This window comes from Homo sapiens, chromosome 20 (genome assembly GCF_000001405.40).
Source record: "Homo sapiens chromosome 20, GRCh38.p14 Primary Assembly".
Lineage (NCBI taxonomy): Eukaryota > Metazoa > Chordata > Mammalia > Primates > Hominidae > Homo > Homo sapiens.
In genome coordinates, this window is record NC_000020.11 from 44,960,411 (window position 1) to 44,985,562 (window position 25,152).

Here is a 25,152-nt window from a genome sequence, read left to right on the forward strand (position 1 = left end):
CCGGCGGCGAATATCTCCGCCCAACAGCGAACCCGCGGCGAGGGGGCGGGGCCTGCGAGACCTGGAGGCCCGGAGCGTCCCGCCCTCTGCGCGTGCTCGGTTTGGAACTTAGGCTCCCTTGCACGCGGGGCGGCAGCATGCTCTGGGCTCCCTGAGTTGCTAGAACGCCGTGGATGACGCAGGGAAGGAGGCTGGCCCCGCTATCAGGGAGATTATGTCCTAGTGGGGTCCCCACAGGCAATTAACTGATAAGCAAACGAAGACTCTCATTTCATGTGATTAGTGCTGTAAGGAAAACAAAACAGGATAATGCAATGGAAAGTGACCACGTGTGGGCTATTTTAAATAAGGGGATGAAGGAAGGCCTTTCTCAGGGGGTAATAGTTGAGCTGAGACCAGACAAGATTTAGGGAATGCTGTTCCAGCCAGAGGGATGGTAAGTGCAAAGGTTCCAAGGCTAGAAAGTACCTGGTACCTAGTGCTCTATAGATATTTATTTAATAAATTAATGCACAGGTGGATTGATGGTGTCAAAGTCAACATATAGAGATGAATCTCTAAAGTTTAAATATTTTATTTGGCAATCAAGAATTGCAATTCAGGGCTTACACACAGACCAGGTTGTCTTTGGTATGTCAGAAGAACAAAGAGAAGGTTTGGAGATTTTTATAAAACAGAAATGTTACATATTGCTCTTCAAGGAAGTTTACAGGCACTAGTAAAGTGGGGGTTTATCAGCTTCTTGGGGAGCTGGCAAGCTTTGATTGGTAAGTGATAGTGGTGGATAAAACTCAGAATTGTAGCAGGCTGTTTCAGTAGCTATTAGATAAAACTGGTTTTAGGTTACAGCAGGCAGTTTTAGCAGCCAGGCTTGCAAAAAATTACTTTTTTGGAGCAATGTTATATGCCCTGAGTATTTGTTCCCCTGGCTTTTCAATTCTGTCTTAGTTGGATATGACAAGAATGACCCAATTCGTATGATCAGCTTTCAGAATGGATGAAGATCTTTCACAGAGTGTGACTTCAATTTATCTCCAGCCTCATCTGACGACTCTATGTCCCACGCATTGCTATCTACACACACTAAATTCTTGCTTCCTAGCCTTTGCTTGTTATCTCCTTCTCCTGGATTTTTTTTTCTAAATACTTTTTCTCCTGCCTAATCCTGAATTAACTTATAACATTCCATTCAAACATCATCTTCTCTGAAAGCCTTTCCTGCTTCCAGCCCCCTCCCCACCCCCCACTATGCTCCCTTTGCTCCCTATTGGTCTCTAGCTTTATCCCTAACTTTGCATTAGTCACCCTTTGATTGCCAGTTTGTAGTTTTCCTTAAACACTGCGAGGTCTTTAATGGCAGGAAGTGGGTCCTTTTTATCTTTGTTTATCCAAGACCCTAATAGGGTCTGGCATCCAATAAAAGTCATTGATTGATAAAGATCTAGTCTCTACCTTCAGGAATTCAGTTATAATGATCTGCATACACTTAACTCCACCAGACTATAAGCTTTCTGAGGGCTGGATGGCTGTTCCATCTGAAATGCTTCCCCTTGCCCTCTGCCCCGACCAAGGATGAACACTGACTGTGGTGGGAAAACCAGATGAGGCCCATGCTGCTGGCTGGCTACTCAGTGACTTCCATCTTTGCTTCCAGGAGCCTGAATTTTGCCTGAGACTCTCCCAGCCTGGGGAAGTGAATCAGGATTGCTCTAAGCCAATTAGAAAAATGTCATTTTCTCTTGCCAGTGATTCATCAAGGGATGCACATGTGATGCTGATCTGGGCAATGAGATAAAAGGGAGTCTGAGGCTGGTCGCAGTGGCTCACATCTGTAGTCCTAGCACTTTGGGAGGCCGAGGCGGGTGGATCACAAGGCAGGAAATCGAGACCATCCTGGCTAACACAGTGAAACCCCATCTCTACTAATAATACAAAAAATTAGCTGGGGTGGTGGCACGCACCTGTAGTCCCAGCTACTCAGGAGGCTGAGGCAGGAGAATAGCTTGAACCCGGGAGGTGGAGGTTGCAGTGAGCTGAGATTGCACTGCTGCACTCCAGCCTGGGCGACAGAGCAACACTCCGTCTCAAAAAAAAAAAAAAAAAAAAAAAAGAGTCTGCTGAGTGTTTATGGGAAAGGTTTCCCTCCCCATAACAGAGAGGTACTGGGTCAAGTAGCCATTCTTGCTCTTTTTCTGCTTTGGGTAGTGCTGGGTTAAGGATATGATACCTGGAGGTGTGGCAGTCATTTTGCAACCATGAGGCAATAAACACAAGTATGAAAAGCCAACATGCTGAGTAGGATGGGAGGGGAAAAAATGAAATAGATATTGCTGAGTCATTGAATCAACTGCTGACTTATTAGCTTATTAATAAACAATAAAGGCAAGGTGTGGTGGCTCACAGCTGTAATCCCAGCTCTTTGGGAGGCCGAGGTGGACGGATCACTTGAAGTCAGGAGTTTGAGACCAACCTGGCCAACATGGTGAAACCCCATCTCTACTAAAAATACAAACAGTAGCTGGGCGTGGTGGCATGCGCCTGTAATCCCAGCTACTCAGGAGGCTGAGGCAGGAGAATTGCTTGAATCCAGTGAGCCCAGATCACTGGGCTGCTGTGGTCCATCCTGGGCAATACGGCGAGACTCTGTCTCAAAACAAACAGTAAATGCCATGGTGCTTTAAGCCAACATTTAGATGTTTTCACTTGCTTGCAGCTGAATATTTCCTGAGTGGTTTATCGGATAAGTGTAGCTGTGGCAAATTTTATTTTCCAAAAATGGCCCCAATAATATTTCTGGTTCCCCAAGCTCTTCCAGACCCTTGCCACTGCCCTATGAGGAGGTGGAGTCTGCATCCCTTCTCCTTGAAACTGGGTGGGCCTTTGTGGCCCCCCTCCACAGTGGTAATGACATTAAGTATCTTCCACTAAAAGGCACTGCAGCATCCCACTTGGCTCTCCCTCGGGAACATGCTTTAGAACCCAGGCTTTATTTTGTGAGGAAGCTCAAGAAAAATGGAGACGCCCCTAGCCTTCAGACCCAAGTGAGCTTCCAGCCAACAGCTAGCACCAACCTGTCAGCTGTGTGAAATGCCTTTTGGACAGGGCTGATTGATCCTGATTGACACCATAAACAGAGATGAGCCTTCCTGCTGAGCCATGCTCAAATTGTAGATTTCTGAGAAGAAAAAAAGACTGTTGTTCTATGCCTATAAACTTTGGGGTGGTTTCTTACACAGCAGTCAATACCTGGAAATCCCTTCCTGCAGTGCTTCCTATAAATGCCAGGACTGATAAAAACAGTACTGAAATAATTTGAAGGAGGGACAGATGAGAGGGTCAGGGGAGGGACAAGGGAACAGAGAAGTCTTCTGGGAAGAGGTGTCTTTTTTTGTAAAATAGCTTTATTGAGATATAACTCACATATTGAAAGTGTACAATTCAATGCCTTTTAGTATATTCAGAGTTGTATAACCATTACTACAACCAATTTTAGAACATTTTCATCACCCCAAAATGAAATCTCACACCTTTTAATCATCCCCTCCAATTCACCTATGCTCCCTTCCACCAGGGCCTTAGACAACCACAAATCCACCACAGGATTTGCCTATTCTGAACATCTCCAAACCTGCCAAAGCTATGCCATTAAAAGGCACTACAGCAAAGAGCATCATGCAACTTGCATCACACTGGGGGCCTGGCACAGAAGTGGCGGTGGTGGCACCAGGCAGGGCCTGATCCACGGGGTCCAGGGTGACCATGTGGGTCATGCAAATGGCATTACACAAATATGCCATGCTTGGCTAAGTTTTTTGTAGAAAAGGGGTTTCACCATATTGCCCAGGCTGGTCTCGAACTCCTGTTCTGCCTTGGCCTCCAAAAGTGCTGGGATTACAGGTGCAAGCCATCATACCCAGTCCCTTGAATACTGTTATGCAATTGTTCCCCATTTTCTGCCAGGTGTTGGTTTGAGGATCTATTAGGATACTAAAATGTGAGTATACTCATGTACTATAGTTGACCCTGCAGAACCTATGGAAACGAAAAGTCAGCCCACCCTATACACAGGTTTCACATCCCATACTGTATTTTCCAACCATGTTTCATTGTGGATGTGGAACCCTCTGATAGAGAGGGCTGACTGTATTTATTGAAAACAAAACAAAACAAAACAAGGGTTGTATTGGTGGACCCATGCAGCTCAAACCCTTGTTGTTCCCAGGTCAACTGTATATCCAGAGCTTATAGGAAAATACCTCTCCCAGTAACCCTGCTCACCATTTCTCTCTTAAGCTATTATTATGATTAGCCACGGTTTGCTATTTAAATTTAAATTTAAATAAAAATGTGGCCTTTCAGTTATGCTAGCCACATTTAAAGTGCTCAATAGCCATATGTGGCTAATGGTTACTATTTCGGACAGCACATATTTAGAACATTCCCATCATTTCAGAAATTTTCATTGGGAACACTCTGCGGAAAAAGGGGGCCATCATAATGTGAGTCCATCTTCTGGAAAAATCCTGGGAAGGGGACAAAGGAGGTCTGTTTGGCATTGTGTAATGGTAATTTGGTATTTAATTTTCAAAAATGTTTACCCAATTCCTATTCATCAGCCAGGTGTGGTGGCTCTTGCCTGTAATCCCAGCACTCTGGGAGGCCGAGGTGGGAGGACTGCTGCAGCCCAGGAGTTTGAGACCAGCCTGGGTAATAATAGGGAGATCCTGTTTCTACAAAACACCAAAAACAAAACAACAACTTTGATGTTGTGGAGTCAGGACAGTCCTGGGTTAAAACCTTTGCTCTCCTTAGCTGTGTAAACCGTGGGTCTCAGCTTTCTTATCTGTTAACGGTAGGTACTTCTTCCTAGGGCTGTTTTGAGGATTAAGTGAAAGTCCAAGATTGTGTCTGGCACACAGTAGCTTCTCAGCAAATGTTTTCCTCCTATGTCAGGGAATGGCTCCTTTATCCCGTTTTGGGCCCATGGGTGGCCCTGAAGGGTGGGTGCTCAGGTGTTAAGTTCTGTAGATGGCATATCCTTGGGAAAAGCAAGGCAATTAAAAACAGTGAGAGGTTGCTCTGGTTAAGTTTTCTCCTATAACTTTCCCCATGGGTCAATTGGGTAGAATCTGCCATTTTCCTAATACTTACTGATGGTAGTGGCATTCGGAAGCACAATAGCTGAAGCCGGAGCTCTGAGTGGAGAGAAAGGTCTGTTTCTCAGGCCCAAAAAGAGGTTACACACCCATGGCTGTCCAGTTTGGTGGTGCAGGCCCTGAAATCAGACCAAACTGGATTTAAATCCCCAAACCTATACTCTAAGCTATGTGACCTTGGGCTAGATACTTCACCTCTCTGGCCTTATGAAGTAGGAATAATAATAATACCGTCTAGGTTGTTAGGAGTATTAAATGAGGTAAAGCACTGAAAACGTTTAGGGACTGTGTTAAATCATTAAATAAATAAAAACGGGGATGACCTTATCGGCTTGACACAGGGGATTAAATGAGATAATATATGAAGACAAGTACACGGCAAATGCTTAATTAATGTTGCTTATTTTTATGTCTGCAAACTGACTTAAAGGGGAGGCCTTTAAGAAAGACAGTGGGGCAATTTGCGCGTTGATGCATTGTAGGAGAAAATGTGCAGGGGGCCCGTTGGGACCAGAGTTCAACCAGGTAAGCGGCAGAAAACCACAAATACCTCCAGGCGTTCCTGGGGCAGCGCCGCCTCCCCAAAATCACGCAAAACTTGGTTTGCTAAGAATTGTCAGCTCTTCTAAAGGAGGCGCTTCACGCATCTCAGTCTGTGAAATGGGACCCAGGACCCAGGTAGAGGTGCGTTCTCGGCCTGGGGACCGAGTATTTTGTGCGCTCCGGTAACGCAGGAAGACAGCGCCACTGACACTCTAGAGACCAGCGGGCACCGCCTGGAGGCGCCTTCACCACTTGGCGGTTCCGGGTCCGCGCCCCACCGCGCCACAAGACTCACGCCCGAACCACGTGATCAGGGCCGTGGCTCCGCCCCGCTCCCGCGCCGCGCGCCGCTTCCGGTAGGGGCGGAAAGCGGAAGTGTGGGAGGGTCTGCGGGGCGGGCTCAGGAGGTCCGCGGGAGGATGGAGCAGTGAGCGGGTCTGGGCGGCTGCTGGCAGCGCCATGGAGACGGTACAGCTGAGGAACCCGCCGCGCCGGTGAGGGGCCACTGGCTAAGAGGACGGGCATGGGGTCAGGGGAAGAAAAGGCGGGAACTGGTTGAGGGGATACACCTGTGTGGGAGTCCCCGGAGCTAAGCGACCCAGCCGATGGGGCACCTGCTGAGTGAGGGGGGGGACGTCTGGTGGGTGAGGGTCCGGCTGAGGGGAGCATCTGCTAAGGAGGTTAGACTTGGGACCGGTTAGAGGGAGCACTCGCTGTGGTGAGACTGTGCTGAGGAACGTGGGGACAAGTTAGGGAGAGTACCTGCTGAGGCCGGGCCACTCGGGGGAACGCTATCCAAGCAGGGACTCACGGAGGTGGGGGCGAATGCTGAAGCAGGGTGAGAATCTGTGAGGGATCTCTTTAAGGGGGTGGATCGAGAACTGGCCAAGAGGAAGGCCGGGTGGACTTTCTAAGGGTCTGAAGTCCCACTTGAGGGGTGCGGTGGGGGGATCTGTGGAGGGGAAAAGCTTTGCGCCTAAGGCTGAAAGCATGCGAGGAAAGGTTGAGGGTCTAGCAAGGGAGGGGATGGTGGAGGGTAGCATTTCAGAGGATGCTGTTGGTGGTGTCCCCACTGTAGGATGGCATCTTTTATTACTGATGTTCAGTGTCTTCCTAATGGTCTTCACATCCTCCTCAGCTCTTCAGAACCTGACATTGGGAGGTAGGTAAGGAAATAAGAGGATATTTTCGAGATGGGGAGACTGAGGTCCAGAGTAGTTGGGAAGTGTTTCCTTCTTTACTCCGGGTCACTGAACCCTGCCAGTCTGTGCCCTTTTCAGGCCTCAGTTGTTTTGTGAATATCAGCACCAAATCCTAGTGGTACCTGGAATTGCTTTAGTTCAAGATCAGGATGGTGGCTGATCCTAGAAAATCTCAACTCCTGGATTTCCCTTGTGGACATCCCGGGTCTTTTGCCACTCTACCACATCTGGAGAAAAGTAGGGACTAGAGACCGAAGGAGTCATGCTTCTCTGAGGTTCAGTGTGGTTACTTCTATTTCACAGAGACGTCTGACTTCCTGCAGCAGAATGAGCTCTAAAGAAGGAAGTGTTCAGGGTGTGGAAGTGCAGGGCAACCAAGAGGTGAAGAGAAGGGATTGACTGCCTGGGCAGCACTCTTAGGGGTTGTTTGAGCTTGGGGATGTTTGAGGTGCACAAACATTGCAGAAGGCAAATAGGTGGTTGGGATGGGCTTTGGATTCACCCTAGCGTAGTGTGCTGAGACTGTAATAGTAATGATTATTACACTCATATTGCACTTACCGGGTGCCAGGCACTGTTCTAAGTGCTTTCCATGTGTCCTGCTGAAGCATATGAAATTGCTGATATTTGACCATTTTTGAACCATAAAAACCTCATTTGAACTCATTTGAACCTCACAACAATCCTGTGTGGTAGATATCCCTATATGTCTGTTTTACAGATGATAAAACTGAGATACAGAGGGTAGTGATTTGCTGGGAGAAGTCATAGCAAGTAAGAGACAGAGCTAGGATTTTAATGTCTATGGGGTCTGGTCCAAAGTCCATGTTCTTTTTTTTTTTTTGAGACGGAGTCTCACTCTGTCGCCCAGTCTGAAGTGCAGTGGCGCAATCTCGGCTCACTGCTACTTCCGCCTTCTGGGTTCAAGCGATTCTCCTGCCTCAGCCTCCTGTGTAACTGGGACCACAGGTGCGTGCCACCACGCCTGGCTAATTTTTTGTAGTTTTAGTAGAGACGGGGTTTCACCGTGTTAGCCAGGATGGTCTCTATCTCCTGACCTCGTGATCCGCCCACCTTGGCTTCTCAAAGTGGTGGGATTACAGGCGTGAGCCACCGGGCCCGGCCATGCTCTTAACTGCCTCACTCTGATGCCTCTCTAAAAGTACCCCTGTTTCACAGGTCTCTGTGTATGTTAGCAGATATTTACTATAGTACCATAGTGATCCAATTATGAATGCACACTAGTTATGTTTCTTTCTGAACTATGTTCGTTCGTTCTTCTTGGTTTCTTTCTCCGAGGCCTTGGTTTAATTGAAAAGAGGATTAGGAATCTGAGTTTTGTTTCCCCCTTTGCCTTGTCTTACATAATCTTGAGCAAAGGACTAAAGTTTCTTGGCATGCTCATTCCTGTACCTTTTGGATTTTAAAAAATGTATTAAAAGCACAAGAGAAGAGCATTGCAGGACTGGGTTCTGAAGTGGCTGGTGATTCCCAGCTCATTGTAACTAGTAGATTGCCTAATTTGAAGCAGATCAATTTTATTATCACGTGTATCAGTTTATCAGGACAAGACAAAGTGTCATGGAGTGGGTGGTTTAAGCAACGTAAATTTATTCTCTCACTGTTCTGAAGGCTAGAGATCTGAAATCAAGGCATTGTCAGAGTTGTTTCTTTTGACGCCTTTGCTTGACTCGTAGATGGCCATCTCCCTGTGTCTCCATGTTCTTCCTTCTGTACCTGTCAGTGTCCTAATCTCCTCTTATAAGGACACCAGTCATACTGGATTAGGGCATGCCCATATGACCTCATTTTATCTTAATTACCTCTTTAAAGGCCTTGTCTCCAAATACAGTCACATTCTTAGGTGGTGGGTATTAGGACTTCAGCATATGAATTGGGGTAAGCTGGGGACACAGTTTTATTATGTAAGATTTTGTCCATTTATCATGTATAGTTGTTGTAATCCATATCAAATTCTGTGTGGAAAAAGAAATAGTTACACATAAAATGAACTTTATGGGAGTTCTGAAATGGGAGAAAGCTTTGAGAATTAGCCAGACCTGTAAGTGACTACTTCATAGACACCATTACTTGTGTTTGGAAAGATACAGGTGTCTTTTCAGAAATTCAGATGGCATGTGTTTCCAATAACCCCAGTGCAGGAAATGCCCTTTGTGTTCGTGAGTTTGACATTTGTGTGTGTGTGTGATTAAGTGATGACAGATTGGTGTCTCATATAGGAGTTAATAATTTTAAAAAATGAGTTGCCATTAGATTAATGTTATAGTGGAAGGCGTAGAGTGCATTCCTGGGATGCTGGCCATCCACATGGCCATCTGACTTAGGAGAGGAGCATCCACCAGTATTTGGTCCATGGATGCTCTGTTGATCAGGCTTGTTCATTTATGAGCAAGTGCTGAAACCGTCTGGAACCTGGGGAAGTCCCAGATAAGAGAACTGTATTATCAGAGTCAGGCTGTTTTGGTAATAGTGTTTTTTCTGTGAAGAGTCATGGTATAAAATATTATTATGAATCACTTATCAAAATATTTTTATAGAAATGTTGATAATTCAGTAATACTTCTTAGGTGAAATTCTGTTTTATTGTGATAATTCAAAGATTGCTGATGAAATTCGTGATTCCCATCATTACATTTGTGAATCCATTTCACAAATATATTTTGACCACCTCTTGGTTATCAGGCACCAGAGATGTAATAGCGCCTTAAGTTCAAGTTGTTTTTAATAGCCCCGGATCAAAAACAAACAAAAAAGCACTTAGATTGTTTCAAAGATGTATTCGAGCCGTCATATGCTAAATGACGAGTTAATGGGTGCAGCACACCAGCATGGCACATGTATACATATGTAACTAACCTGCACATTGTGCACATGTACCCTAAAACTTAAAGTATAATAATAATTAAAAAAAAAGAAAAAAAAAGTTTGTCAAAGTATTATCAGAGGTTTGCAGCTGTCTATCTCAAGGCAGTGGCAATTTCCTTTGTTATGCTGTGGTCCCTGAAGTAGTTGAAATAGTGACTTTTGCATTTTGTAAACCACAGAGAGTCAACACTTCAAAGAAACATACTTGATCTTCCTTTGTATAAGCTGTTTATACAACTTTGATTATACTTGAGAAGTGAGGTATTGTCCAATGTTTATACAATTACAATTCAGGACTTTACCAAAAAAACCCTGGCATATGAGATGTTCGTTCTGACTTCTGAGTTTATAGAAGTTTCAGTTCTGAAGTTTAAGAGGAGTTTCACTTCATCCCTTTTCATTTTGAAGGTAGGAGTTTTTATGATGTCATTGGTATTTAATTTTTAGGACCTTTTGATTTTCAAAGGTCACTGTGATCATTTTGTTCTGTTGATATCAAGTTAAGGCAGTTTTGACTTGGAGCAGTTCTCCATTTCTCTAGTTTATAGTCCTTGATATTCATAAACTATAAGATTGTCCTTCTGAGATCAGTGTTTATTGGTAGATACACTTGATGTGGTCAGGGTTTTTGTTGGTTTGTTTTATTTTTTGTCTTCTAATTTTAATCTGTTTTATTTAGGAAGGTACACATTTGTGTGTGTGTGTGTGTGTGTGTATGTGTGTGTATTTAAGTCTTTTGTTGTAATAATTGATATTATCCAGCTAGTCTAAACCTTTTTTTTTCTACAAAGAGGTCTCCAGTGTGACTACTTCCATATTTCACCGTTTCCTCAGCTCTCTATTCTTTGTTGTTCTTTGTAGTTTCAGGAAGCCATTGTGTAGACTACACACACACACACACACACACACACACACACACACACACACATATTCCTTGGCAAGTTCCTTCTTTAAGCTCATTAGTAATTTTCAGAGATCTCAGAGTTTTAAAAAAATGTTAATTTATAACCTCCCATGTTTGTTATGATTGTCTAGCATAGTCAGAAATCTGAATTATCTGGAAATTGTGAGCAGCCAAGTACCTTTGATTTTTGGGACTAGTCAAAGGTATGTATCTACTCATAGGAAGGTCTTTGTGAGAATATCTGAAACTCACAGCTGCCTAGTGATTTTTCACTTTTGATCATATCTAAATGTACACTTTCCACTTTCTGTTTCTGTGATACCTACAGAATTTATGTGTTTTGACAAACTTACAAAAAACTTGCTAATGGAAGAGCAAAGGTTTCCCGTGTCTTCCTTAGTCTGCAGTCCAATTCATAGTTATGTTTCAATTCATAGTTACCTTACATTAAACACCTTTTCTGAAGAGATAATTACATCATTTTAATTCATGAAATCTCAAGATTTAAATAGATTTTGAAGGATACATCGAATGCTTGAATCTACAGCATTTCAGCCACATGACTTTTTTTTTTTTTTTTTTTTTTTTTGAGACAGTCTCTCTCTGTCACCCAAGCTTGAGCGTAGTGGCGCAATTTCGGTTCACTGCAAACTCTGCCTCCTGGGTTCACGCCATTCTTATGCTTCAGCGTCCTGAGTAGCTGGGATTACAGGCATGCGTTACCACGCCCAGCTAATTTTTTTGTATTTTTAGTGGAGACGGGGTTTCACCATGTTAGCCAGGATGGTCTCGATCTCCTGATCTCGTGATCTGCCTGTATCGGCCTCCCAAGAAACCTTGTTTCTTAAAACAGTCTTAACTAGTGAAGTCTGTATAGAGAAGTTCCTGAGATGCTAATTATAAAAAAAAGATATATTTTATGTTCTAGTTCCTAGCAAATAAAATGTATTTTGTGTTTATATTTCTTTATTCACAGGCAGCTGAAAAAGTTGGATGAAGATAGTTTAACCAAACAACCAGAAGAAGTATTTGATGTCTTAGAGAAACTTGGAGAAGGGTGAGTGTAAAGAAACTATAGGTAGGTCATTGGGTCCCAGTCTTTTTCCTGCCCCAGAAGAAGCAGAAGGATATGAACCTTTCAGCATTGTTCTAGGTGGGGTGGAAGGTAAATTTACAGCTTGTGATGTCCTTCTTCGCTTTACTCCAATCCCTATTATAGACAGATTTAGTGATTCCTGGTCTTTTTAACACGAAGAATATCTATTGTTTTCTCTTTTGTAGGATCTGTATGATTTTATCTACTTAACAGATAGCACTAATTAGATTAAAATTCTATAAGAAACTTTTTAATTTGCTGTTCATAATTTCTGATTGGTATGCAATAACTGTTTCAATGAAAATCAATGTAATTTAGTATTTTAATATTTGCACCTTTGTGAAATATAGTAAATAAATTAAGCACTATCACCACCTTCACAGCTACTTAGGAGATCCACAATCCTGGGTTGGGAGCCAGTGGATTTCCTGAAACACAGATTTGTTAATGCGTTTATAAAATACTGATGAAATGATATTAGTAATGTGCAGTGACCATCATTGACTTTCATGATACAATTAAGTTTACATAATTTTTATACTTTTATATATCATTTTAATTCAATCCTGTGTATTTATTCCTTCTTCTGTAATGACCAGGAAATTAAAATGTTAATGACACCATTTCTTAAGTTTTTCTTGTTAATTTTTGAATAGGCGATACAATCATATGATTCAAAATTTAAAAAAATATTAAGACGCATACAATAAAAAAAAAAAAAAACTGCCTCCTACCTCTCTCTGTCTCTTAGCCACCCAGAATCACCAAGGGTAGCGGCTTCTTGTGTGTCTTTCAGAGACAGGCTATGTGTGTGCGAGCGCACACTCGTGTTTGTGTGTGTGTGTGTCTGTATTTTTAATCCCTTGGGAGTATTTCTGGATCAAGGGAAGACCTGACATACTAACTTGTAAAAACAACTACTGACTGATGACTATATGCTCTTTAAAATAATTTCCTTTATGTCATTAGATTATTTTTTGGGTTTAGTATTTTTTATGTTAGGAGACAGATTTACAACGTTAAACCCAATCCTGGATTACATGAAATGGTTTTTTTATGATTTACCTCCTTGTAAAAAACATGAGTCATCGTCTTTTTGTAAGTTGGAAAAATACTCTTTGGAATCCAGCAAGAAATCAAGCAGAGAAGGGAAGTAAAAATGACACACCAGCTGTGCTGTGAAAAGACAAGTCCAAGATGAATCTGAAGACTGCCAGTTGACTGGCATCATTAAAGGTATGGGGAAATGACAGTCCCTCTACATCTGTTGCCTGCCATTTTCAGCTTTAGCTTGCCATCCTTGCTATTTTCCCTAAGGCAGCAAGGCTGTGACCTTTAATCTAACAATGCTCATAAGTTATACTTAGAATAAGTTCAAGACTGATAGGCATAATTGACTATGTAACTTATTTCTCTCATTTCTAATACAGTTTGCTCTTACTACTACAATGTGAGGCTGACCTGGGTTAAAATCCTTGCTCTACTGTTTACTGGTCATAATAGACAAGTGGGCTTAAGCAAATTGCTTACTATTTTGGAGGCTCACAATCCTCATCTGTAAAGTTGGGATAATAATATATCAATTCATAGAGTTGTGTTATTACCTGAGGTAATTGGGGTAAAGTATAGTGCTTATCACAATAATAAATGTTCAGTAAGTGGCAACTATTGCTATTCTATTTTAAATGTATCAACTGAAGCATTTTCAAGACCTCATCATGTCAAGTCTTAAAGTATTTTTAGGTGTTGTTATAGGTAGCTCTGAGCTGATTGGGTTTGTGGAATGTCAAAGGAAGACTATAGACAGAGAATATATCAGAAATATAATGTAAACAAAAAATAAGCTAATTATGATTTTTTAAATTGTATTTTATTTATTTGTTTGTTTATTTATTTTTGTAGAGACGAGGTCTCACTGTGTTGCCCAGGCTGGTCTTGAACTCTTGGCCTTAAGTGATCCTCCTGCCTCAGCCTCCCAAAGTGCTAGGATTAGAGACGTGAACCACTGCACCTGGACAAATTGCGTTTTAGATCTATGGATGTCTTCTGCAAGGAATGTGGAAATTTCCCTATGAAGATATCACCAGGGAGAAAACAAAGCTTCAGATCTTTCTTCCCATACTATCACCTTATTGTTCTTCTAAATAATACCAGATTTCTGGTATTTCTTGGATTTCTGTTATTCTGACTGAATGAACCTAAGCAAGCCTCATTTAACTAGGAATATTTTGAAGGAAGACCTTCACTGCACTTCTTTTCCAAACATGTGACACAATGCTATTCTTTTTTTTTGAGATTAAGTCTTGCTCTGTCACCAGGCTGGAGTGCAATGTCACAATCTCGGCTCACTGCAACCTCCGCCTCCCAGGTTCAAGCGATTCCCCTGCCTCAGCCTCCTGAGTAGCTGGGACTATAGGCACACACCACCACGCCCGACTTATTTTTTGTATTTTAGTAGAGATGGGGTTTCACCATATTGGCCAGGATGGTCTTGATCTCGTGATCTTGTGATCTGCCTGCCTCAGCCTCCCAAATTGCTGGAATTACAGATGTGAGCCACCACGCCTGGCCAATGCTATTCTTAAATTGTTCGGGAGGATGAATGGTTTGTGAACTCTCACTGACTTGTATCTTGTGAAATGAGCTATGGCTAAAAAAACTGTTGGATTCTGGAGGCTGCAATCATTCTGTGTTATGAGGATCATATGGATCTGTGGCAGAGTAGAGCCAAAGCTCCAGACCAGGATGAGTGGAGAGCACTTGGGAAGTGTTTTCAAGTGGAGCCTAGCACCTTTTTTCTTCTACTTAAAGTTGTACACATTGACTCATTTGAATTTTTATCATAGAATGATAACAAAAGCATCTTGCCCATGGTTTCATAAAAAATGAGTGCTATTGTTAAGACTTGTATCTGATTAATTTGGCCTCAGATACTGTGGTATTTCCATTTTTCTACATAGATCCTTGCCTTGCATGGCTTATGTAAAACACCTACTTCTCCATTCTCTGCTGTCAGTTGTAATTCATTGAATCATCTCATTTTGTTGTAGGGAATCAAGTTTTAAGGGACTTGCTTGTGAGTATGATTGCTGAAATCTTCTAACCACCCCCTATCCCTGCCTTCAGATTACTGTAGATGCAGTATATGGAATCAGGAATCTTAACTTCATGTGAGCTATTGGAGTTTTCCTTGCTATCAGGATGCATAGGGAGGTATGAAGAGTGTTCTGGTCAAGATTGCTGAGTGAGTGTATGAAGAGAACTTTCTAATATATAAGAATAATGAGTGAAAATTATTTTAAATATAAGGATATATAGACAGCTATGGACAAGGGATAGGAAAGAAATCTAAATAATCAGCGGAGACTAAAGCATGCCTTATCCTTGTCAGGAGATTGCATTTGAGCTTCCTGCATGAAGTTGGGGGCTGGAACTCGGCTCTCCATCTGTGAACTAAAGCTGAAATAAATTTGCCTGACCACAACCAGAAAGTGTCATTTGCCTGTGGCCTAGGGAAAAAATGGATATACTGGTTCGATAATAGGAACTGAGCTTGGATTGTATTTAAGTATGGTATCTTGAAGGGCAAAAACCCCAAACTCTGAATATAAGACCTGGTTTAAGTTGTATATCCCAGACTACTGTACTGAGAAAACCATGAAATCATCGACAGTGAGTGTGGTATAGAGGAAAATCATTCAAGAGAAAATGAAATCCATGCAAGGAAATCTACTGCCATGAGATAATCAGCAGAATGGGAGAATTCACACTGAAGGAAAAAGAAATAATGAAGCAATCTCAAAAACAATTTAATATAATTACAATTTTCAAAAAGATCAAGGAGGAGATAACATTTTTAAAAGGACATCAGATTATTGACATGATTATTAACATATTTGCCCAAAGGCAGATAAAAAGTTGGGAATCTTGACAATGAAAACTACAACAATTGAAGTTTTAAAAGCCCAATAAATTGGATAAACAGTAAACTAGACAAACTGAAAGGAGAATTTGTGAATTGAAAGATAGAAATGAGACTGATCACAACATGCAGAAATACAGTGTTGGAAACCAGGAAGACAACATAGATTGAGGAGGTCTAATACAGTTTTGGTAGGAATTCTAAAAGAAGATCCTAGAAGTGGTAGAGGAAATAATCACATAATAATCCTGAGAGTTTTTCATTCTTGAGGAAAGACACGAGCCCTCAGATTGAAGAAGTTTATGAAGTGCCAGATCAACTCCTAGTTACATTACAGTAGAATAGTAGACTGTTAAGGACAAAGGAAACCTTAAAAACTATGGGGAGATTACCCATGGAAAATGATAATCTGATAAAAGCTGACTTCTCAGCCACAGTCGATGTTGGAACACTGCAACAACAGTGCTGAGGGAAAGCTGTTGTCAATCCGGTATCCAACCAAACTATCATTCTAGAGTGGAGGTGAAATAAAGACAGTTTCAGACATACAGGAGCTAATTTATCAAGAATGCCTTTGGATGGAAGTAACAATACCCAACAAACAGTGGCTAACCAATAAAGACATTAAGAACTAAATAATACATCTGGGGGTGTGAGATTCGAGAAGCCGTTAATTGGCTTGACAATGGTTTGACATCTGGGTAATTCTCGTAGTCTCAAATGGCTGCATTAGTTTCAAGCATCATCCCTCACATGGCAGTAACCAAAGAAAGAAGGGAAGTGGCAGGTGGAAATGGGCCTTCTTGTGTGCTTGTCTCCTACCAGGGAAGAAAGTCTTTCCCAGAAACCTTTCAGCAGAATTATCTTCAAATTTCAGTGGCCAGAACTGGGCGACATGTTTGCCACTAGTTCAGTCACTGGCAGAAGGGAATAGGAATTCTGTGAGTGGCTTGGACTACCATGGTATATCTCCTGGGACGAAGCACATCACCACTGTAACAAATTAGGAAGTTATTTTAGCAAGGAAGAAGGGACACATGCTCAACAGTTGCCTCTCTCTGGCAAAAAGTATTTGGTGTAATATTTAAGGATGATTATGCTAGTTTTGCAAGTATGACAGCTTCTAATGGAATGGAAATATTTTTATGTGCTCTGCATAGACTTAAAAAGTTTTATGTTACTTTCACATTGAAACAGTTCATGAGCATCTATTTGGCAGTTAGAGTATTGTACTTTGACATAGTAGGTGGCACTGCTATTTTGATTTTTTTTTTCACCAAGACAGTGTGAAGATACAGATGTGTTGGGAAATATGAAAGACAGTTTACTCAGTATTATTTCACTGACAGCTGCCCAGGATTCCAATGAAAATGTTATCTGTATAAAGTGATGATGGTATCTCATTTGACCATCACAAATGAGATACCATCACATCTTGTAAGGTAGTTTGTATTATTGTCATTTTACAGATGAGAAAATTCAGGTACAACAAGGTTAATAAGGTGTAAATGATAGCTAAATGTAGTGTTGGTAGGACTCAAATCCAGCTTCTTTACTTTCAAAATCTAGTGGATCTGTAGCCTCCAAATTGACTAGATACACAAACTTTATTTTGATATTAAGCTGTTAAGGGAAGATGGAGTAGGAAGCAAAGAGTGTGTGTGCTGTGTTTACCTGATACTAATATTAAACAGGCTTAGATTTTAATTAGTTTCCATAATATTTTAAGTATTATTGTAAGTAAGAGGAGCAAGGACAGAAAGATCTTGTGGTACTAGAGTGAATACAATAAAACAAAGACTGCCACTTCCATATTGTACCCCAGTATAGATGGGGAGACAACGTAAGCTTTGTTTTCAGACACACCCGGGTTCAAATCCTGGACTGATAACACAACTGGTTTCAAATCCTGGACTGATAACTTATGTGACCTTGGGCAAATCATAAACCCCTTTGAACCTTTTTACATTTACCTGTAAAATAGGGATAGTCATCTCATCTTCATTTTTTGTAGGAATGAATTGAGATGGTGTACAGTCTCTAGCAGATAGCAGGCATGCAGTGCATGGCAGCTACTATATTACCATCTCATAAGAATACATTCATTACAGTTTTGAATGTGAAGCTTTCAAGATGCCATTTTGTTGTAGTTCTCTTGACAGTTTTTTCCCCAAAAGTATTTTAGCTATCTTAGTTTTGCAAGTGTATATGTATTAGGCACTTAGGGATATATGTTAGAACTATCAGTTGCTTGTGTTTTACCACTTCTTATATCTTGGCTTGCTTTGACTTTATAAATGTTCTTCTTCTCCCAAATGTATAGGTCCTATGGCAGCGTATACAAAGCTATTCATAAAGAGACCGGCCAGATTGTTGCTATTAAGCAAGTTCCTGTGGAATCAGACCTCCAGGAGATAATCAAAGAAATCTCTATAATGCAGCAATGTGACAGGTAAAGGCATGTGGGCTTCCTTTGGGGAGAATGTGGTTTTGAATTAGCTATGATTGTGTAGAGTTTGATACCTAGAGACACATTTACTTAGATATTTTGCAGAAGGGAGAATTCGATGGAATCACTGTGCATTTTCTTTTCAGAAAAAAATATGATGATAATGGTTGTTTTTGTAGCTAAACCTCCGTAATTTTTATGCATGGTGTTTTGTTTTTTTTTTTCAATTTTTCTTTTTTTTTTTTTCTGAGACAAAGTCTCGCTCTGTCGCCCAGGCTGGGGTGCAGTGGTGCAATCTCGGCTCATTGCAACCTCCACCTCCCAGGTTCAAGTGATTCTTGTGCCTCAGCCTCCCGAGTAGCTGGGACTACAGGCATGTGCCACTACGCCCAGCTAATATTTTTGTATTTTTAGTAGAGATGGAATTTCACCATATTCGTCAGGCTGATCTCAAATTCCTGACCATAAATGATCTGCCTGCCTCGGCCAAGTCCCAAAGTACTGGGATTACAGGAGTGAGCCACCATACCTGGCTTTTTTCTTTTCTTCAGTGAGCCCTTTTAGAAACTAGGAAGAAGAGGCAGAAGGTGGTGCTTGCTTTTTTTTGTGTGTGTGATAATGATCTTTTTTACTTCCTATTGAGAAAACATTTCTGCAGAGATAGCCAAGAACAGATAATTCAAATGTTTTTTAGTTCTAGAAACCTTAGAATATCAGGTAAATCTATAAAAAAAGAGTAGTTATGTATATACTACTGTTTGTTCCTTCACATTAAAAAAAATTATTCTAGCTGAGAGTACCTACGTATTTATTTTTGAGGAACTAAGATTTGTCAAATGTTGTAAGCAGGAAGTCAGACCAAAAGACAACCACAGAAAACCACGTGGTTTGCTCTGAAATTCCATGACAACATGGGTTGGTCACTGATAGAGCAGGCTTCCCCAGCACTATTTAGATTAGAGACAAACACAAAGTTAGGGGCAATGCCAGCTCTAGGGAGCTGAAGATGGGTGAGAAATTCTCTCAGTTGAAGCTGCATTCATTCTTCTGAAGGCTTTTTGGTCAGCAGATCAACTTAGTACCTGCTGTTTGCAAAACTTCTACATTAGGGTTTAGGTGGGGCTACCTACCAAAAAATTAGTCCAGAAGCCTTTCAGTCTCACAGACTTGGGAATGTAGTCCTTTCTTTTTTCTCTCCCTTCTTTTTTTTTCCCTTCTATTTTTGTGATTACTGTCTACTAGATAAAATCCCCATTTTTCTTGATTGGATTGACCAGATGAAGGTGGCAGTTTTCCATTTGCTCCTTTTTCAGATACATTTTGGAAGTTCTTTCCATTTGGCAAATTGGGACTTTGTCACTTTCGATAGACTGTGCGGGAGCTGTGTTCCAAACAGAGTATGGAAATGTCTTTAATTAAAGAAGAGATATTTTCAAGCGTCTACTCTGTGCTAAGCACTGTAAGGAATACAGTGAAATACAGAGCAGAGTCCTTGTGCTTTGGGAGTTTATAGACTAATTGGACAGGCTAAGTATATATATATGTAGAGGAGAATCTAGCCAACAGTGCAAGTCTATAGAGAACATATTCCAGTAGTAAATACTTGATAGTAATGGCCTACAGTATTTAACTCCTGTCAGTACTGTATTACAGGGAGAGTAAATGTGTTGATATTTACCTTAGACACTTTTTTCATTAATATTTAATGTGTGTGTGTGTTTTGCTGTCCTTGTCACTGGCATGTTTCCTAAGGTTTGAAGAGGAAATTGTAAGAGTTCTGAGTTAATGAAGCCAATTTGGTTTTAACATCAGTTGTTAGGAAACTTCATTTGGCCATGATAACAATCTAGCCAGTTAAAGCTGGCAGCTCTCAGAGGGCACATTATTTTATTTTAATAGGATATTTGATTTTTCTCTGAATTTCTTGTTTGGTATCTCTCTTCCAGCTTGAGACCTAAAATTCCAGGTTTGATCCTGAACATTTTTTCTTTATAATAGATTGTAGTATGTGTATGTTTTTATTACAAAGTACATATGACTTCTTAGAAAAATTCAAATGAAAAGAAAAGAAAATCACTTTTCCCTTTGGAGAAATCATCATTTTTTCTTTTTTTTGAGACGGAGTCTCCTCACTCTGTTGCCCAGGCTGGAGTGCAGTGGCGCGATCTCGACTCACTGCAAGCTCCGGCTCCTGGGTTCATGCCATTCTCCTGCCTCAGCCTCCTGAGTAGTTGGGACTACAGGGCCTGCCACCACGCCAGGCTAATTTTTTTGTATTTTTAGTAGAGACGGGGTTTCACCATGTTAGCCAGGATGGTCTCGATCTCCTGACCTCGGGATCCGCCCACCTCGGCCTCCCAAAGTGCTGGGATTACAGATGTGAGCCACTGCGCCTGGCTGAAATCATCATTCTTAAACACTGCTTGATACACATATTCTTCCAAATCACTTTGGAGTTTTACAGTAATTCCTGTTTTGTAGCCTGCTTTTTTGTTTGTTTGTTTGTGTAAACACAGTATCTTCTCATGTTATCACATAGTCTATAACATTTTTCATGGATTCATGATATTTTATTATACGGCTATAGCATTCTTTGTTTTTTTTGAGATGGAGTCTTGCTCTGTCGCCCAGGCTGGAGTGCAGTGGCGCGATTTCGGCTCGCTGCAACCTCTACCTCCTGGGTTCAAACAATTTTCCTGCCTCAGCCTCCCGAGTAGCAGGGACTACAGGTGCACACTGCCACGGCTGGCTAATTTTTTGTATTTTAGTAGAGACAGGGTTTCACCATCTTGTCCAGGCTGGTCACGAACTCCTGAGCTCAGGCAATCCGCCCGCATCGGCCTCCCAAAGTGTTGGGATTACAGGTGTGAGCCACTGCACCTGGCCCTGTATCATTATTTCTTAAATAAACTCCCTAATGTTGGATGGACATTTAGATGATATCTAAATTTCCACTTTTGTCAATAGTGCTATGATGGTAACTGTTACTTTTTGAACATTTATAATTCTTTTTTGAGGATAAATTGTAGACATAGAAATGCTGGTTAAAGAACTCACCAAGTTTTTTATACTTTTGTGATTTATTACCCTCCAGAAAAGCTATACCATTTTGCATTCTTATCAGGAGGTTGTCCATTTTATCCTTAACTATGAATAATTGATCTTTCCAGATGAGGAATTAATTTGTATATACTTGCTAGCATGAATTAAGAGATATTTGAAGGCCATTTTATTAATTTGTATTGTCTCTCTCTCTCTAGCCCTCATGTAGTCAAATATTATGGCAGTTATTTTAAGAACACAGACTTATGGATCGTTATGGAGTACTGTGGGGCTGGTTCTGTATCTGATATCATTCGATTACGAAATAAAACGGTAGGTTTACCTTCTAGAACATGCAACTGAGCTAGTTTCTTATGCCATCTTCTTTTCTCTGCCTCTTTTTCAGGGCATTCTCCTACTAGAGAGACGACTGTCAGATTTCCCCTTTTCCATGGTTATTTTCCATCTTTATTCTTTTATGTCTCCTAAGTGTGACAGCTTTTTTTTTTTTTTTTTTTCAAGAGACCAGAGTCCCCTGTCACCCAGGCTGGAGTGTAGTGGCACAGTCATAGCTCACTACAGTCATAGCTCTACCTCCTGGGCTTCAGTGATCCTCTCACTTCAGGCTCCTGAGTAGCTGGGACTACAGGCGTGTACCACCATGCCCAGCTAATGTTTTGTTTTGTTTTTTAATTTTTTTTTTTTGTGGAGATGGTGTCTCACTGTGTTGCCCAGGCTGGTTTCGAACTCCTGGCCTCAAGCAATTTTCCCACCTCGGCCTCCCAAAGTGCTGGGATTACAAGTATGACCCCCCCATGCCTGGCAATGTGGCAGTTTTGACACCAATTTAGTCCAGTGATTTTTAGCATGCTTTGGTTATTTCTTACTGGGAAGAAAATGACTGTTAGATCTTAGTTATAGAATGAATTTTAAATGTTTAAATTTGGATTTGGATTTGGGTTTCTGCTTCTACCTAGCGTGTTCACAAATTAAATTCCTGTATTTCCTGTTAATCAGAGAATAATCCCCTTATGAAAGATTATTTGCTGATACTGTGGTTGCAGTATAAGACCTAGGAGTCATGGGTTTTAGTTCTGGTTCAGTTACTTAATGTCTTTATGTATTCGTTCAGTAAATATTTCTTGAACACTGTTTTAGGCCTGAAGGATCTAATAGTAAATAAAACAGATGACAACTCTGCTGTCATGGTAGTGTACTTCGGAATAGGGCAACAAAAGCAAATTAATAGTAACTATTAATAGAAAAGATATAATAATGATATATACTATGAGGAAAATGAATGAGGATGAAGTGATGGTAAAGTTGTGGAGACTGGTGGGCTATTTTAGAGTAGATAGTTGAGGAAGGTCACTCAGAAGTGGTGACGTTTACAGGAAGACTCAAATGACGAAAAGGAGCTAAGAGTCCTGAAGGAACATTGTAGGTGGGCAGTAACCAGTGCAAAGACCTTGAGGCTGGAATGAGTTTGGCATGTCTGAGTGATAGAAGGGCTACCATGACTAGAAGGGAATAGGCAAAGGAGAAGCTGTAGGAGATGAGGTTTGACAGGTGGGCAGGGCTAGATTGTATTGGATATTGCAGGTCATGGGAATGAGTTTGAATTTTATCCCAGGTATTATAGGAAACCATTGCTGGATTCTAAGCAAGTGAGCGAGCCATCTGATGTATGTTTTAGAAAGATAACTCTGGGGCTGGGTGTGGTACCTCATGCCTGTAATCCCAGCACTTGGGGAGGCTGAGGCGGAGGATTGCTTCAGTCCAGGAGTTCGAGGCCAGCCTGGGCAACATAGCGAGACCTCGTCTCTACAAAAGAAAAAAGAAAAACAAAATTAGTCAAGTGTGGTGTCATGCGCCTGTAGTCCCAGCTAACTTTTGGGGTGTGATGGGGGTTGAAGTGGGAGGATTGCTTGAGCCCAGGAGGTTAAGGCTGCTGTAAGCTGTGATTGCGCCACTGCACTGCAGCCTGGGCAGCAGAGCAAGACTCTGTTTCAAAAAATAAAAAAGATAACTCTGACTTCTGGGTAGATTGTGGGTGGATAAGTGGAGAAGTAGAGAAAATCTTAGCCTGTGGTTTTTTTGTCTTAATAAGAAAAATAAGAATAATAATATCTGTATTCCATATTTGCAAAGTTGGGAAAATTAATTTAAATATGTAAAAGTACTTTGTAAATTGTGAGGTGCTACACAAATTATAAGGTGAGGGTGTTTTAAAACTGAGTTATAACTTTTGGATTATTCATATACTATCTTCTTAATTTACATTATTCAGAATTAGTGTGTTTGCTTAATCGAATAGCAAGTTCTTTAGGAATAATATCCTAACATAAGATATATGTAAAGAAGTTCCAAAACTGGAATAATTTATTGAATTAAACATTGGATTTCAGGGCTTCTTATATGCAGCATTAAGTCAATTTATTTCAGGTATTTTAAACTAGTCCAAAATTAATTTTGATGGCACTTTTGGTTTTTTTTTGCCATTGTAATAGTAGGTTATTATATTTAAGTAAATTTTAACTTAATTACTAAGTGCTGGTTTTTTGTTGTTGTCGTTGTTTTTTTTTTTTTTTTTTTTTTTGAGACAGAGTCTCCTTGCTCTGTTGCCCAGGCTGGAGTGCAGTGGTGTGAACTCGGCTCAGTGCAAGCTCCGCCTCCCAGGTTCATGCCATTTTCCTGCCTTAGCCTCCCTGGTAGCTGTACTCCCTAGTACAGGCGCCCGCCACCACGCCTGGCTAATTTGTTATGTATTTTTAGTAGAGACGTGGTTTCACCGTGTTAGCCAGGATGGTCTCGATTTCCTGACCTCGCAATCTGCCTGCCTCGGCCTCCCAAAGTGCTGGGATTACAGGCGTGAGCCACCGTTCCCGGCCTAAGTGCTGATTTTTAATTACTACACGTTATTTTGCCAAATGTTATAACTCTGCCCTGTCCACCGTGATATCCACTAGCCGCATGTGGTTATTAAGGACTTAAAATGTGGCTAGTCTGAACTGAGATATGCTGTAAATATAAATTATACACCAGAGTTTGAAGAATTATTGCCATAAAAATTGTAAACAAAAATCTTTGATTTTTTCATATTGATGACATGGTGGAGTGATAATATTTTGGATAAATATGGTTAAGTAAAGCAGATTATCAAAATTAATTCTTTCTTTTTTTTTTTCAAAGATAGAGTCTTGCTCTGTTGCCCAGGCTAGAGTGCAGTGGTGTGATCATAGGTCACTGTATGTTGGAACTGCTGGGCTCAAGTGATCCTCCTGCCTCAGCCTCCTGAGTAGCTGGGATTACAGCACCAGCCACTGCGTCTGCTTGTTTCCTTTTTCAATGTGGCTACTAGAAAATTAAAAATTATATTTGTGGTTCCCATTATATTTCTATTAGGCAGTGCTACTTCAACTGATTAACTTAACTGGTTAGAATAAAGAGGTGGTAAGTCAAGTCATGAGCTTTGTTCTCTTCCACTATAGAAGGTACCCCAGACTCTAGCCTACTACCTTGCCAGTAGTGTTTGCCTGGACTTTAGTGAAAGCTTTATCATTTCTCTCTGACTTTTGGCATAAATGACTTAACTTGTCTGTGCCCTCAGCTTCATTATGTATAAAATGATGATGATAATAATAGTTCCTCTACCTCATTTAGTTGTTATAAGGATGAAATGAGATTACATAGTGCTTAGCATGGATTAAACACTTAGTAACGGTTAGCCTTTATTTATTTATTTATTTATTTTTGAGACAGAGTCTGGCTGTGTCACTCAGGCTGGAGTGCACACAATCTCAGCTCACTGCAATCTCCGCCTCCCGGGTTCAAGTGATTCTCCTGCTTCAGCCTCCTGAGTAGCTGGATTACAGGTGCCTGCCACCACACCCAGCTAATTTTTGTATTTTTAGTAGAGACAGGGTTTTGCCATGTTGGCCAGGCTGGTCTT

General features: G+C 41.1%; 1 protein-coding gene and 1 long non-coding RNA gene across 11 annotated transcripts in view, besides 4 other annotated features; one reads left to right on the forward strand and one right to left on the reverse strand.

Annotated features, from left to right (window-relative positions):
• Window positions 166-245: a silencer, noted in NCBI's record as "silent region_12951". NCBI's record gives its function as "represses an Ori minimal core promoter by ATAC-STARR-seq in GM12878 lymphoblastoid cells {active_cell/tissue: GM12878}" and the evidence as "EXISTENCE:reporter gene assay evidence [ECO:0000049][PMID:35858748]".
• STK4-DT (STK4 divergent transcript) lies at window positions 3,384-6,048 on the reverse strand. Its single transcript, NR_038341.1, has 3 exons — window positions 5,707-6,048; window positions 5,152-5,275; window positions 3,384-5,038 (listed from the first exon to the last, which is right to left on the reverse strand). It is a non-coding gene; the product is annotated as an STK4 divergent transcript (long non-coding RNA).
• Window positions 5,927-6,176: a silencer, noted in NCBI's record as "silent region_12952". NCBI's record gives its function as "represses an Ori minimal core promoter by ATAC-STARR-seq in GM12878 lymphoblastoid cells {active_cell/tissue: GM12878}" and the evidence as "EXISTENCE:reporter gene assay evidence [ECO:0000049][PMID:35858748]".
• STK4 (serine/threonine kinase 4) overlaps window positions 6,102-25,152 on the forward strand; it is a 113,510-nt gene continuing 94,459 nt past the window's right edge. For 3 of the 10 annotated variants that reach the window (NM_001352385.2, NM_006282.5, XM_017028033.2), the window contains exons 1-4: window positions 6,102-6,193; window positions 11,668-11,748; window positions 18,033-18,161; window positions 21,419-21,533. In NM_001352385.2, the coding sequence (NP_001339314.1) occupies window positions 6,159-6,193; window positions 11,668-11,748; window positions 18,033-18,161; window positions 21,419-21,533 (360 nt within the window). In that variant the 5' untranslated portion in view covers window positions 6,102-6,158. Of the gene's footprint in view, window positions 10,196-11,667; window positions 12,511-12,872; window positions 13,024-13,689; window positions 15,275-18,032; window positions 18,162-21,418; window positions 21,534-25,152 lie in introns of those variants that run through there. The other 7 variants (XM_017028031.3, XM_047440425.1, XM_011529018.4 and 4 more) reach the window with 7 other exon arrangements.
• Window positions 7,317-7,396: an enhancer, noted in NCBI's record as "active region_17944". NCBI's record gives its function as "activates an Ori minimal core promoter by ATAC-STARR-seq in GM12878 lymphoblastoid cells {active_cell/tissue: GM12878}" and the evidence as "EXISTENCE:reporter gene assay evidence [ECO:0000049][PMID:35858748]".
• Window positions 7,857-7,986: a silencer, noted in NCBI's record as "silent region_12953". NCBI's record gives its function as "represses an Ori minimal core promoter by ATAC-STARR-seq in GM12878 lymphoblastoid cells {active_cell/tissue: GM12878}" and the evidence as "EXISTENCE:reporter gene assay evidence [ECO:0000049][PMID:35858748]".